Source organism: Homo sapiens, chromosome 16 (assembly GCF_000001405.40).
Source record: "Homo sapiens chromosome 16, GRCh38.p14 Primary Assembly".
In the NCBI taxonomy this organism is placed as follows: Eukaryota; Metazoa; Chordata; class Mammalia; order Primates; family Hominidae; genus Homo; species Homo sapiens.
In genome coordinates this window covers 29,467,669-29,483,274 of record NC_000016.10, presented here as the reverse complement: position 1 = coordinate 29,483,274, position 15,606 = coordinate 29,467,669, and the positions used below count along the sequence as shown (strand labels likewise).

The 15,606-nt window shown below is 48.8% G+C and overlaps 1 pseudogene; it reads right to left on the bottom strand.

Moving 5' to 3' along the window:
• On the bottom strand, positions 684-4,396 carry PLA2G10HP (phospholipase A2 group XH, pseudogene; annotated as a pseudogene).

Here is a 15,606-nt window from a genome sequence, read left to right as displayed (position 1 = left end):
CCTGGCCAATGTTAAAAAATCCTTTAACTTTTTTGTAGAGATGCACTCCTGGACTCAAGCGATCCTCCTACTTGTCCCGACCACCAGCCCCTTTCTGATAAACAAACATTTACACTGTTTATTATCTGATGCCATTTCTATCTTCTTCCTTGTCGTCCAGACATCGAATAATTAGGTTTCTTCAGGGTTTTCTTTTTCAAGTGCTCAGTGTTAAAGATCACTCACATTAGGGCCAGACACCATGGCTCATGCCTGTAATCCCAGCACTTTGGGAGGCCGAGGCGGGCAGAGCACTTGAGGTGGGGAGTTTGAGACCAGCCCGGCCAACTTGGTGAAACCCCACCTCTACTGAAAAAAATACAAAAATTAGCTGGGCGTGATGGTGCATGTCTGTAGTCCTAGCCACTTGGGAGGCTGAGGCATGAGAATCGCTTGAACCCAGGAGGCAGAGGTTGTAGTGAGCCAAGATCACGTCAGCACACTCTAGCCTGGGTGACAGAGTGAGACTCTGACTCAAAAAATATAAATAAAATAAATATCACTTACATTAGATATACCCAAGGGGTGGTCTACAGAGACTTGGAAGCAGTGGTTATTGCAACAGGGGCACGGAAGTCATCTGGCTATGCCAGGGTGCCCAGGGGATACTCGGGGTGGGTGGCATGGTGCTGCTGGGGACTCATCGCACAGGACGCTCTGATTGACGCACTGCCAGGAGTAGCGCTCTGTCTTGGGGCTGCAGCCGGCCTCCTCAGCTCGAGTGTAACAACAGTCGTGGCCATGGCAGCACCTGCGGATGTCACACGGGCAGGACAGCAGGTGGGTGAAGCTCTCTCCTGGCCCTCCTCTCTTGCCAGGACCATGGGTGACTGAAGACCCCCAGGGAGGCACAGCATCCTCTTATCTAAGATTTTTTTTTTTTTAAGAGACAGGGTCTTTAAAAAAGTCCTGCAGTCTGCAGTCGCCCAGGCTGGACTGCAGAGGCACAATCATAGCTCACGGCAGCCTTGAACTCCTGGGCTCAAGCGATCCTCCCACTTCAGTGTCCCAAGTAGCTGAGACTACAGGCACACGCCAGCATGCCCGGCTGGTTTTTTAATTTGTATTTCCTTTGAGACAGCATATCTCTCTGTCGCTCAGGCTGGGGTGCAATGGCTCAATCAGCTCACTTTAGCCTTGAACTCCCGGGCTCAAGTGATACTGCCACCTCAACTTCCCAAGTATGCTACTACAGGAACACAAACTCCTTTTTTAAATTTTTTGTGGATATGGGGTCTATGTTGCCTAGGCTGGTCTTGAACTCCCAGGCTCAAGCAGTCCTCCTACCTCAGCCTCCCCAAATGCTGGGATTACAGGTGGGAGCTACTGTACGCCTGGCCTTATCTAAGCTGTTTCCCTGAAAATGCCCGTCTTGGGTAATGATTCCATTGGCCCCACCATGCCCTGTCCTGCCTTCCTGGCTGTGCCCAAGCTTGGTCCCTGCCTGCCTGCCTCACTCTCTGGGTCTCGAGCTCCTGTGACACATGACTCCTCTCTCTTCCTGGAGTGATCCAAGCCCTGCCACTTCCTGACTTTGCCCACACTGTACCCTCTGCCTGGGGCAACTTCATGTCTGCCCATTGTCCCTTAGGCCTCAGCCCAGGCACAAGCCCCTGCCTCCGGAGGTCATCCAGGCCTCACCAGGCTACACCCTCTCGTAAAATTGGATTCCCTCCCTTCAGGGCAGGTTTATAATGAAATCCTCCTCGGAGGCCAGGTGCGGTGACACCCATCTGTAATCCCAGCACTTTGGGAGGCTGAGGTGGGAGGATCACTTGAGGCCAGGGGGTCGAGACCAGCCTGGGCAACATAAGAGAGACTCTTGTCTCTATAACAAATTTAAAAATTAGCTCACCAGGCCAGGCTCAGTGGCTCATGCCTGTAATCCCAACACTTTGAGAGGCCGAGGCAGGTGGATCACGAGGTCAGGAGTTCGAGAGCAGCCTGACCAACATGGCGAAACCCTGTCTCTACTAAAAATACAAAATTAGCCAGGCATGGTGGCACACACATGTAATCCCAGCTACTCGGGAGGCTGAGGTAGGAGAATTGCTTGAACCCAGGAGGTGGAGGTTGCGGTGAGCCAAGATCATGCCACTGCAGTCCAGCCTGAGCAACAGAGCAAGACTCTGTCTCAAGACAATAAAAACACACAAAAAATTAACTCGCCATGATGGCACATGCCTATAGTCCTAGCTACTTGGGAGGCTGACGTGGGAGGATTCCCTTCAGCCCAGGAGTTTGAGGCTGCAGTGAGCCACTATGATTGTGCCACTGCACTCTAACCTGGGCAAAAGCGAGACCCCAGGCTAGAGTGCATGATTTTGGGTCACTGCAACCTCCACCTCCCAGGTTCAAGTGATTCTCCTGCCTCAGCCTCTTGAGTAGCTGGGACTACAGGCATGTGCCACCACGCCTGGGTAATTTTTGTATTTTTAGTAGAGACAGGGTTTAGTAGAGACCATGGTGAAACCCCGTCTCTATAAAACAAATCTCTACTAACCCCATCTCTACAAAAAACAGCTGGGCGTGGTAGTGCACACCTGTAATTCCAGCTACTTGGGAGGCTGAGGCACGAGAATCATTTGCATCTTGGAGGCAGAGTTTGCAGTGAGCTGACATCGCACCACTGCACTCCAGCTGGGATGACAGAGCAAGACCCTGTCTCAAAAAAAAGAAAAAGGAACAAACAACAGCAACAACAAAAAAACCTCTGTGTCAATCACAGCCTTCAAGCTAGGGGAGAGGCGGCCGAATTCTGCCCTCTGCTAACTAACTATAGCTTTGTGGAAATGGGTGAGTGGCATGCCCCTGTGAGCCTCAGGGCCCCATCTGTAAAATGGGCATAACTGTCATGCCCGTCTTTAAGAACAGCCTTGGGGGTAAATGAGTGGAACTCATGGAAAGATCTCAGCCCACAACCTTCCACAGAACAGGCGCTTCTCACACAGTAAGTAGCAGGAGTGCAGAGGCTGCAGGCATGAATCCAGCCAGACTGCCTGGGTTCAAGTCCCAGCTCCCACGTCTTGGTAACTAAGTGGCCTCAGACAAGTTACTTAATATTTCTTTTTTTTTTTTTTTTTTTTTCAGACGGAGTTTTGCTCTGTCACCCAGGCTGGAGTGCAGTGGTGTGATCTCGGTTCATTGCAACCTCTGCCTCCCGGGTTCAAGCAATTCTCCTGCCTCAGCTTCCTGAGTAGCTGGAATTACAGGCACCTGCCACCACACACAGCTAATTTTTGTATTTTTAGTAGAGACGGGGTTTCACCATGTTGGCCAGGATGGTCTCGAACTCCTGACCTCATGATCTGCCTGCCTCAGCCTCCCAAAGTACTGGGATTACAGGCGTGAGCCACCGCACCTGGACACGTTACTGAATATTTCTGTGCCTAGGTTTCTTCATCTGTGAAATGGGATTGTTGTGAGAACACAAAGAGATTCCCAGGGCAGTTCCTAGTGCATAGTCTGGCTGCCTTTGTGTGTGTGTGTGTGTGTGTGTGTGTGTGTGTGTGTGTGTGTGTGTGTGTGTGTGTGTGTGTGTTTAATATAGAGACAGGGTCTCACTCTGTTGCCTAGGCTCGTTTCAAACTCCTGGGCTCCAGTGATCCTCCTGCCTCGACCCAAAGTGGTGGGATTACAGGCATGAGTCAACACACCTGGCCACTTTATATTATTATTATTTTTTTCTTTTGAGACAGGGTTTGGCACTGTTGTCCAGGTTGGAATACAGCGGTGCAATCTCAACTCACTGCAAACTCCACCTCCCGGGTTCAAGCAATTCTCCTGCCTCAGTCTCCCCAGTAGCTGAGATTACAGACGCCTGCCACCACACACAGCTAATTTTTGCATTTTTAGTAGAGATGGGGTTTCACCATATTGGCCAGGCTGGTCTTGAACTCCTGACCTCAAGTGATCTGCCCACCTCGGCCTCCCAAAGTGCTGGGATTACAGGAGTTAGCCACCGCTCCTGGCCAATTTTTTAAGGCAACGTTTTCAGCCCATGGCCAGGGTAAGGGGCAGCTGGTACCAAGATCTGGCTTCACTGGCCATGTTATCCAAGAGGCCTCTGCCTGCCTGCAAAGTAGTACTGCACACTGGGATCTCCCTGGACCAAACCCCAGCTTCAGTTTTGGGTACTTCCTCATAAGCCTTGACTACCCCAGAGTGTGAGGGATTTTGTAGCCTGGTCCCAGGCATGCACTCACCAGTCAATGGCATCGCAGGGCTGGCCATGGCCTCCCAAGCCACAAAAGGAACCATATTTCATATAGGCGATGGGAGTCTAGGGACTAACACAACCCACAATTCCTGCCAGTTCCAGGATCCCACGCCGGTGCACACATAATATCCTGGAGGCTGGGGGGTAAACGAAGGTGACAGGCTGCAGGTCAGGGCTTCCCAGACCCCTGGGAAGGGCATGAGCCTGAGAAGAGCCTAGGTGTTACAGCCTGGCTGTCTGGGTTTGAATCCTACTTCCTAGCTGTGTGACCTTGGACGAATTCCTAACCTCTCTGGGCCTTGGTTTCCTCATCTGTGAAATGGGGGGTAAGCTGACTTCAACTCATATGAATGAAATGAGATAATGAGTATAAAGCCCCTGGTGCATGAAAAGGCTATTATAATCCGGCTGGGCTCAGTGGCTCACACCTGTAATCCCAAGACTTTGGGAGGCCCAGGTGGGCAGATCACCTGAGGTCAGCAGTTCAAGATCAGCCTGGCCAACATGGTGAAACCCCATCTGTAGTAAAAATACAAAAATTAGCTGAGCCTAGTGGTGCACACCGGTAATCCCAGCTACTAGGGAGGCTGAGGAAGGAGAGTCACTTGAACCTGAGAGGTGAAGATTGCAGTGAGCCAAGATTTTGCCACTGCATTCCAACCTGGACGACAGAGCAAGAGTCTCAAAAAAAGAAAAAGAAAAAAAGGATAACTATTATAATCAAGGTCCTCAAGGTAGCCAAGAAGGGAAAAAAGAGTCGTGCATGAAACGTTTGTCCAGTTCCCTGTGTTGGGCACTGGGCATCACGGATGTGCCTACAGGTGTCTGTCACCAAGGTGGGCTCCTCTGTGGCAGCTCCCGGGCCCTGGCACTGCCCTGTGCTCATGACTTCCCCTCCAGACTCAGGGCCCTTGGTATCTCCTCTTATTTTCACTGCCAGACAGGAAGGCCCCTTGGCCTGAGTCCAGCCATTTTTCTAGATCCTGGCACAGCTTGGACATGTAATGGTGCCCAATGCATGTGACTGGAACCCCTGCATTGGACATGAAGGAAACGAGGCCAGCCAGGAAAGGTAACCCCACATTCCCACAGCCAGCAGGAACCCGAGCAGAGGCTTCAACCCAGGCTTCTGACTTGCAAACCAGTGCTCCTTCCTCCTTACACAGTAACAACAGGGGAAGGTGGCCTTCCGGGTTGCCAGAGCCGAGTGGTACCAGCAATAGAGTGGAAACTCACACACAGGCTTGCCTGCTTCCTGGGTTAGGGTTAGGGTTTATATGGCTCCGGGAGGTTGATGCATTGTGTTTGATCATCCCCCCTTTTTTTTTTTTTGAGACAGAGTCTCATTCCTGTTGCCCAGGCTGGAGCACAGTGGTGTAATCTTGCTCACAGCAACTTCTGCCTCCCAGGTTCAAGCAATTGTCCCGCCTCAGCCTCCCGAGTAGCTGGGATCACAGGTGTGCGCCACCACACCCAGCTGATTTTTGTATTTTTAGTAGAAACGGGGTTTCACCATCTAGGCCAGGCTGGTCTCGAACTCCTGACCTCATATGATCCACCTGGTTTGGCCTCCCAAAGTGCTGGGATTATAGGCGTGAGCCACTGCGCTCATCCTGATCATCTTGTCTCTCTTTTTTTTTTTTAGAGACAGGGTCTCACTCTGTCACCCACACTGGAGTGCAGTGGCACAATCATAGCTCACTGCAGCCTCCAAATCCTGGGCTCAAGCGATCCTCCTGCCTCAGCCTCCAGACATATGGGCATGCACCACCATGCCCAGCTAATTTTTAAATTTTTAGTAGATCTGGGGTCTCACTATGTTGCCCAGGCTGTTCACAAACTCCTGGCCTCAAGTGATTCTCCTGCCTTGGCCTCCGAAGGCGCTGGGATTCCAGGCATGAGCCACCATGCCCAGTCTCATTTCTGTTTTATCTAGAACATGTTTTCATCACACTGACTTTTTTGAGAAGTCCAGGCCAGATTTAAATTCCATTTTGTCTTTTTATCGGTAGAAAAGTAGCATATTTATGTTGCAGGACAAAGATGAATCAAATAGGAAGAAAATGTAAAACACATTTGGGGCCAGGCACAGTGGCTCATGCCTGTAATCCCAGCACTTTGGGAGGCCAAAGTGGGCAGATCACCTGAAGTCAGGAGTTCCAGACCAGCCTGACCAACATGGAGAAACCCTGTTTCTTTTTTTTTTTTACTGATCTCCAGAACTCTTTTTTTTTTTTATTGATCATTCTTGGGTGTTTCTCGCAGAGGTGGATTTGGCAGGGTCATAGGACAATAGTGGAGGGAGGGTAAGGTCACAGATCAACAGGATCCCAAGGCAGAAGAATTTTTCTTACTACAGAACAAAATGAAAAGTCTCCCATGTCTACTTCCTTCTACACAGACACGGCAACCATCCGATTTCTCAATCTTTTCCCCACCTTTCCCCCCTTTCTATTCCACAAAACCGCCACTGTCATCATGGCCCGTTCTCAATGAGCTGTTGGGCACACCTCCCAGCCGTGGTGGGAGACATGCACCACCACGCCTGGCTAATTTTTGTATTTTTAGTAGAGGCGGGCTGGCCAGGCTGATCTGGAACTCCTGACCGCAAGTGATCCACCCGCCTTGGCCTCCCAAAGTGCTGAGATTACAGGCGTGAGCCACTGCACCTGGCCCATTGATTTAAAAATATATATATATATATATTTAGTTTTAATGTATTGAGGGGGTATAAGTACGAGTTTCTCACATGCCTATATCGCATAGTGGTGAAGCCTGGGTAGTTCATTGATCTGGGTTATCAGAAAACTGTGTTCAAGAGGACTTGTTAGAGTTTTCTCCATGCAAAGCAAATTTGGGGGCAGGACGCAGTGGCTGACTGCTGTAATCCCAGCACTTTCGGAGGCTGAGGAGGGCGGATCACGAGGTCAGGAGCTGGAGACCAGCCTGGCCAACATGGTAAAACCCTGTCTCTACCACCACCAGTTAGCTGGGCGTGGTGCTGGGCGACTGTAGTCCTAGCTACTTGGGAGGCTGAGGCAGGAGAATCGCTTGAACCCAGGAGGCAGAGGTTGCAGAGAGCCAAGATGGCACCACTGCACTCCAGCCTGGGTGACAGAGCCAGACTCCATCTCAAAAAAAAAAAAAAAAAGGTATTTACTAAATTTTAGTATCAAAATAACAAATTATGTATGTTTTGGGGAAAGAAATCTGGTTATTAAATCTTCATTTCGATTGAGTTCTATGTAAATTAAAATTCACTCTAAGAACTATTTTTTGGTGTAAAACTTCATCTGTCCAAAAGTGTTCAGGAGATAACCTGAGATTTTAGAATAGAAATGTAAACAATCAAAACCAAGAAACCAAGTTTCCTGAAACTTGCATTAAAATATTAGAAATATTAATAATTCTAAAATGCCATTTTGCCACTGTTATTCATATTAACCAAAATATTAGAGAAGTAATATTTCAGACTAGATCAGGAAAAAATGTCTGAATACAATTAAAAAATAATCATTGATAATTTTTTTAAAAGTGGGTCTATAAATAGTAGTAATTCCTCAAAATGAAGTGCATAATTGGCACATCAAATATTTTGTCTGCAGGCAATTCTGTGCATTTTAGGTCAAAATGTGGTCCCTTTAAGAGAGTCCTTGACTTCTCATTTCTCCGGGGACCCTTCTGTGGCACTGGTCCCCTTTGTATATAAAATGGTGAAAGCTGACTTGAATGTGCCGTCACCGCTCTGCTGGGAAAAACAGATGAAGGTGGCCCAGAGAAAACCACAGACTCCAGCGTAAGCTGTTCTCCATTGAACAGGAACAAGGCTGAAGTTGGTTAGCTGGAACAGGGAGAGTGAGTCCATTAGGGCCACATGGAAACCAAAGCCCTGAGTTCATATTACTGAGCAGGCGGAACTCACCTGTACTAAGGGCCAGTACATCAGTCCGCTCTGGAATTAAAAAAAAAAAAAAAAGCAACAACTTAATTAGAATGCCTTTTATTTTTTATTTATTTATTTTGTTTTTTATTTTTTGAGACAGGGTCTCACTCTGTTGCCCAGACTGGAGTGCAGTGATGCAATCTTAGCTCACCGTAACCTCTGCCTCCTGGGTTCAAGCAATTGTCGTGCCTCTGCCTCCTGAGTATCTGCGATGACAGATGCACACCACCTCACCTGGCTAAATTTTGTATTTTTAGTAGAGACGGGTTTTCAACATGTTGGCCAGGCTGGTCTCGAACTCCCGACCTCAGGTGATCCGCCCACCTCGGCATCCCAAAGCGCTGGGATTACAGGTGTGAGCCACTATACTCGACCTAGAATACCTTTTAGCCACACAAAACAATTGCACAGTTCATTCCATAAAAGAGTAAGAAATACTAGGCCAACAAGATGCCAAGGTAGTATTATATTTCAGACTAAGCTGATTAAATTAGACTACTAAGGCCTCTAGAGTGAGGGGGTTGGGGAGTTGTGGGGAAAAAAGCTATTAGGTACAAGACATTTCTATTAATTATATTTTTAACATCAGAATGAAAAGTCTACTAGAATCAGTACCAATTCTGGAAGAGAGCCGCTTTGGAAATGACAGCATGTATTTATGCATTGCAATTTCCTGGTTACCATGAACAAATGATGCAGGAATATATTTGTAAATACAGAATCATCAATGAATTCTCTTTTTTAAAATTAATTATATATATATTTTCTGAGACATGGTATCTCTATGTTGCCCAGGCTGGTCTTGAACTCCCAGGCAAAAGCAATAGTCCCACCGCAGCCTCCCAAAGTGCTGGGGTTATAGGCATGAGCCACCTCATCCTGCTGAATTATTTTATTTATTTATTTTGTTTGAGATGGAGTCTCATTCTGTCGCCTAAGCTGGAGTGCAGTGGCAAGATCTCGGCTCACTGCAACCTCTGCCTCCTAGGTTCAAGTGATTCTCCTGCCTCAGCCTCCTCAGTAGCTGGGATCACAGGCACCTGCCACCATGCTCGGCTAATTTTTGTATTTTTATTAGAGACAGGGTTTCACCATGTTGGCCAGGCTGGTCTTGAAGTCCTGACCTCAGGTGATTTGCCTGCCTCCTCCTCCCAAAGTGGTGGGATTACAGGCGTGAGCCATTGTGCCCAGCCTTGAATTGTTAAAACTATATACCAAACCATTGTTTATGGAATGATTTTCAATAATATATTCAAACCATGGGATGCTATAGCACAAGTTTAGCTGAAATTTTCATATATTACAAAATATCTTAGACATTTTAACAAGCTTTATTCTATACAGTCCGATAAAAAAGTCACCATTATGAATTTTTTTTTTTAAAAAAGTCTTGGTATGTAAATTATATCTCAAAAAAAAGCTAGAGGTTTTTAAAATAGTTCTTAAAAGTGGTATTACAGACTTATTTTCTTCTTTTTACTAATTTGTATTTTCTGAAGTTTCTAAAATGAACAATTGCAATAAAAGCTTTATAATATTTATGTTTATATTTAAAAGTAGATATTACATATAATGTGTGTGTGTATATACATATATTTTGTTTTGTTTTGTTTTGTTTTATTTTGTTTTGTTTTTGAGGTGGAGTTTCGCTCTTGTTGCCCAGGCTGGAGTGCAATGGTGCGATCTCGGCTCACTGCAACCTCCACTTCCCGGGTTCAAGGGATTGTCCTGCCTCAGCCTCTGAGCAGCTGGGATTACAGGTGCACACGACCACGCCCAGTTAATTTTTTGTATTTTTAGTAGAGACAGCGTTTCACGATATTGGCCAGGCTGGTCTTGAACTCCTGACCTCAGGTGATCTGCCCACCTCGGCCTCCCAAGGTGCTGGGATTACGGTTGTGAGCCACCATGCCTGGCCATAAAATATATTTTACATATATTTTTGAGACGGAGTTTCGCTCTTGTGCCTTTCAAATTCCCGAGTTCATGGGATCCAGCCACCTCGGCCTCCCAAAGTGCTGGGATTACAGGCGTGAGACACTGAGCCTGGCCCTTAATTTTTAAATATACTTTAAATATAAAATATACCCCTGTAATCCCAGCACTTTGGGAGGCCAAGGCAGCCGGATCACCTGAAGTCGGGAGTTTGAGACCAGCCTGACCAACATTGAGAAACCCCATCTCTAACAAAAATACAAAAATTAGCAGGGCGTGATGGCAGGAATCTGTAATCCCAGCTACTCAAGAGGCTGAGGCAGGAGAATTGCTTGAACCTGGGAGGCAGAGGTTGCAGTGAGCTGAGACTGCACCATTGCACCCCAACCCGGGCAACAGAACGAGACTCTGTCTCAAAAAATAATAATAATAATAATTTAAAACTTCAGCAAAAATAATCAGAAGACTAAACTCATCCAAATATGGCTTTCCTTCTTTCTTTTTTTTTTTTCTTAATAGAGATGAGGGCTCACTATGTGGGCCAGGTTGGTCTTGAACTCCTGGCCCCAAGCAATCCTCCTGCCTCAGCCTCCCAAAGTGTTAGGATTACAGGAGCCACTGTGCCCGGCCATGGCTTTATTTCTTATGGCTGTGTTTTTTCCTGTCAGAATATAGTATCATGTAGTAGTATATTTTGTTCTCAAACCGTTCCCCCACAAAAAGGAATCAGGATGCCTCAGAGAATTGGCTGATTCTAGGGCCAGGGCAGGGCAGGTGCAAGGTACAAGATGGTCCTGGAACACACTGTCATGCCAGGAAGGAAGTGGCTTATGAAAGAAGAAAAGGAGAAAGAAGATGGGTGATGTCACAGGACACAGGAACCAGCGTGGAGGGACTCCAATTGGCCGAATCTGGGACATGAGAGCACTAAAAATAATTAAACCCTGTCATGAACTCTCCTCTGTGCTTCGGCAATCTCCCTCTGAATAGGCCAAAGGCATCTGGCATTCAACATTTCCCAAACTGAACTCACCTCATCTTTTTTTTGAGACAGAGTCTTGCTCTGTCACCCAAGCTGGAGTGCAGTGGTGCAATCTCACCTCACTACAATCTCTGCCTCCCAGGTTCAAGTCATTCTCTGTAGGGACCAGCCCCACAGGGTCGGTGGGTCTCTCCCTAAGTGCGGCAATGAGAGAGTGTAGAAATAAAGACACAAGACAAAGAGACAAGAGAAAAGGCAACTGGGCCCGGGGGACCACTACCACCAATGTGCAGAGACTGGTAGTGGCCCCGAATGTCGGGCTGCGCTGTTATTTATTGGATACAAGGCAGAAGGGGCAGGGTAAAGAATGTGAGTCACCTCCAATGATAGGTAAGGTCACGTGGGTCATGTGTCCACCGGACAGGGGGCCCTTCCCTGCCTGGCAGCCGAGGCAGAGAGGGAGAGGAGACAAAGAGAAAGACAGCTTATGCCATTATTTCTGCATATCAGGGACTATTAGTATTTTCACTAATTTACCACTGCTATCTAGAAGGCAGAGCCAGGTGTACAGGATGGAACATGAAGGTGGACTAGGAGTGTGACCACTGAAGCACAGCATCACAGGGAGACGGTTAGGCCTCCGGATAACTGCGGGCGAGCCTGACTAATGTCAGGCCCTCCACAAGAGGTGGAGGAGCAGAGTCTTCTCTAAACTCCCCCAGGGAAAGGGAGACCCCCCTTTCCTGGTCTGCTGAGTAGCGGGTGTTGTTTCTTGACACCTTTTGCTACCGCTGGACCACGATCCGCCTGGTAACGGGCGTCTTCCCAGACGCTGGCGTCACCGCTAGACCAAGGAGCCCTCTGGTGGCCCTGTCCGGGCATAACAGAAGGCTCGCACTCCTGTCTTGCAGTCACACCTCACTATGTCCCTTCAGCTCCTGTCTCTGTATGGCCTGGTTTTTCCTAGGCTATGATTATAGAGCAAGGATTATTATAATATTGGAAGAAAAAGTAATTGCTACAAACTAATGATTAATGATATTCATATATAATCATATCTAAGATCTATATCTGGTATAACTATTCTTGTTTTATATTTTATTATACTGGAACAGATCGTGTCCTCTGTCTCTTGCCTCGGTGCCTGGGTGGCTTGCCGCCCACAGAGGAAGCTCTAGGGCCTGCCTGTGCTGTCTCCCTGCCAGCCAGCACCCTTTGTCTCACCATTTTCTGCTGTGACCCCCAGCCTCCACCCAGTGGGCTCCTCTCCCCGATGCTCCCCTCCTTGAGCCCCTCAGGCCCCTCACATGTGGAAACCTCCCAGGCCGGCCAGGCCTGTGATCCACCTGCCCAGCCACAGTCCATCTGGGCTCCAGGACAAGCATGGTCCATTGAGCAACTGAGCTGGTACTGGGGGCCAGAGCCTGGTGTGGGAATGAACAAAACTCTGATGATTCCGCAGAATGAGGAGGGGACACCATGGCTCATGCCTGTAATCCCAGAGCTTTGGAGGCCCAGTGGGGAAGAATCACTTGAGCCTTGGACTTTGAGACCAACCTGGGCAATACAGCAAGACCCCATCTCTAGAAAAAAAATATTTAAAACTGAGCTGGGCAGCCAGGTGTGGTGGCTCACACCTGTAATCGCAGCATTTTGGGAGGCCAAGGTGGGGCGGATCACCTGAGGTCGGGAGTTCAAGACCAGCCTGACCAACATGGAGAAACCCCTTCTCTATGAAAAATACAAAATTAGCAGGGTGTGATAGCGCATGCCTCTAATCCCAGCTCCTTGGGAGACTAAGGCAGGAGAGTCGCTTGAACCCAGGAGGCGGAGGTTGCAGTGAGCTGTATCATGCCATTGCACTCCAGCCTGGGCAACACGAGCAAAACTCCGTCTCAAAAAAATAAAAAATAAATTAAAAATAAGTTTAAAAAATTAGCTGGGCATGGTGGCTCTCTCCTGTACACCCAGCTACCAGGGAAGCTGAGGCGTGATTATCATGTGAGCCCATGATTTTGAGGCTGCAGTGAGCTACAATTTGGCCACTGCACTCCAGCCTGGGTGTCAGAGCCAAGCCTTGTCTCAAAAAAACAAAAATAAAAAAGAAAGAAGGGAAGCCAGGCTGGAGTTCCCCTAGTGAAACTGGATATCCGTGGGGAAACAGCCAGTATGGCAGAGGCCTTGGCTGCTGGAATGTTGGCTCCAAAAGCTGAGCAGGGTGAGGGCGCCCTGGGCCATTCCACTCTGGTACTCACCTGAGCTTTCTGGAATTTTGCTCCCTTGCCCTGGTGGCTGAGTGTGGGGTGTGTGGAGCTGTTGTCTGCCCTGAGGGTGTGGTAGGTCTAATGTGGGAGGGATCCGGAGTCGGGACCAGACTTGGGTTTGCTCCCGGAAGGAAGGGGTGGGGTTGAGAGCGAGGGAGCTTCTCTATTAGCCTCCTCAGCACCACAGCTGCAGCCAAGCTTAGAGTGATCTGCAAAGCCAAGATGTGAGTTTAGTGTTTAGTTGTGATTAGAAAGCACAAGAATAAAAGGCAAAAGAGCCCAATGTATAATTTATTTATTTATTTATTTTGAGATGGAGTCGTGATCTGTCGCCCAGGCTGGAGTACAGTGGCAGGATCTCGGCTCACTGTAACCTCCACCTCCTGGGTTCAAGCAATTCTCCTGCCTCAGCCTCTTGAGTAGCTGGGATTACAGGCATCCGCCACCACACCCGGCTAATTTTTGTATTTTTAGTAGAGGCGGGGTTTCACCATGTTGGTCAGGCTGGTCTTGAACACCTGACCTCAGGTGATCCGCCTGCCTCGGCCTCCCAAAGTGCTGGGATTACAGGCATTAGCCACTGCTCCTGGCGGCTTTTTTTATTTTTTGAGCTGTCACCGGGCTCTTGAGCTGCCCTCTGAACTCCACCCTGCAGGGCAGGCCAACAGAAGAGCTTTTTCTAATTGACCCAGCCAAGGGAAGTGAGCCGGTGAGTGGGGAAAAATGGGTACTCACTAGACAGAAACAGGGCAGGTCATGTTTCCCAGGGCAGTCTTGAAGGCGCCAATGCTTCTAGTCCAGTGCAGCCTGCATGCAAGCCCCCAGCAGCCCAGGCATTCCAGGCTCTGACCACAGGGCCAGTCTGGAGTAATATGTGTGGGCAGAGTTGAAGGGGCAGCGGTGGAGCAGAGCATGGATGCATAGAACAAGAAAGAACAAAGACGCTGGAGTCCCATCACCCTGGGAGCCAGCCCAGTTTCATGGCTCTCAGGGGAAGTTACAGAGCTTCGCTAGAAGATCCTAGAAAAACAGCAGCCCGTGGCAGGTGCTTTTGTTTCCCTGGGTTTGAAGGAGGCTCCACAGACAAGAGACCAGAGGAGGTTGAGGCTTGGAAGCCACAGGGCCCTGTGGAAGGAGGGCATCCCCCCACCCTCCTCATTCTTTGTCTTCACTATTTAAAGTTCAAGGTCAAGCTGGGGCCAGGCATGGTGGCTCACGCCTGTAATCCCAGCACTTTGGGAGGCCAAGGTGGGCAGATCACGAGGTCAGGAGTTCAAGACCAGCTTGGCCAACATGGTGAAACCCTGTCTCTACTAAAAATACGAAAATTAGCCAGGCACGGTGGTGGGCACCTGTAATCCCAGCTACTGGGGAGGCTGAGGCAGGAGAATTGCTTGAACCCGGGAGGCGGAGATTGCAGTGAGCTGAGATCACGCCACTGCACTCTAGCCTGGGTGACGCAGCAAGACTCCAACTCAAAAAAAAAAAAAAAAAAAAAAAAAAGGTCAAGCTGGGCACGAGACACGAGACAGGTAACCATTTGAGTAAAGGTGAGTCTCCCAAGCCTTCCAAGAATTGTGTGAATTCAGAGGCAAGCGGGCAGGTGGGAGTGTGGGAGAAGCTGAGGCGTCCGGCTTCCAGGCAGAGGAGAAGCTGCTCACATGCTAGGGCCACAGGCCCCTCCTCCCTCCTCTGGAAGCCCCTTGACTGGCAGGACCACAGGCAACTAGCTCTGCCTCCGCCCTCAGCAACCAACAGAAGGCACCCTTGACTCAGACTTTGTATTGCATTCCAGTAAAAAGCCCCAGACCCGCAGTGGATGGCATAGAAAAAAGGTGGGAGGGGGGTTACACAGCTCAATCCTGTGAGGCAGGGGCGACGATTATTCACATCTTAGAGATGAGGAAATGGAGGTGGGGGGGGGGGGGTAAAATCCTTGCCCCCAGGGACTAAGCTGGCCAGTGTCCTGTGAGCATGGGCAGTGATTGACTGAGTCACAGCCTCACCCCTGCAGCCAGATCTGAACTTCCTCATAGCTCAGCAACCCCCGCCAGATCACTGAATCTCTGCAGGGCAAGCCCTTTACTCACTCACAGTAGAGGCCAGGACCATCGTCTGTTATTTTATTAACTGTTTCTTGGCCATTGGCTCTATGTGGGACTTTGTTCTACAGCAGTGATGAGAGCTGCCCCCAGGCAGTTTAGTACACAGGTTCGGAAGGGGT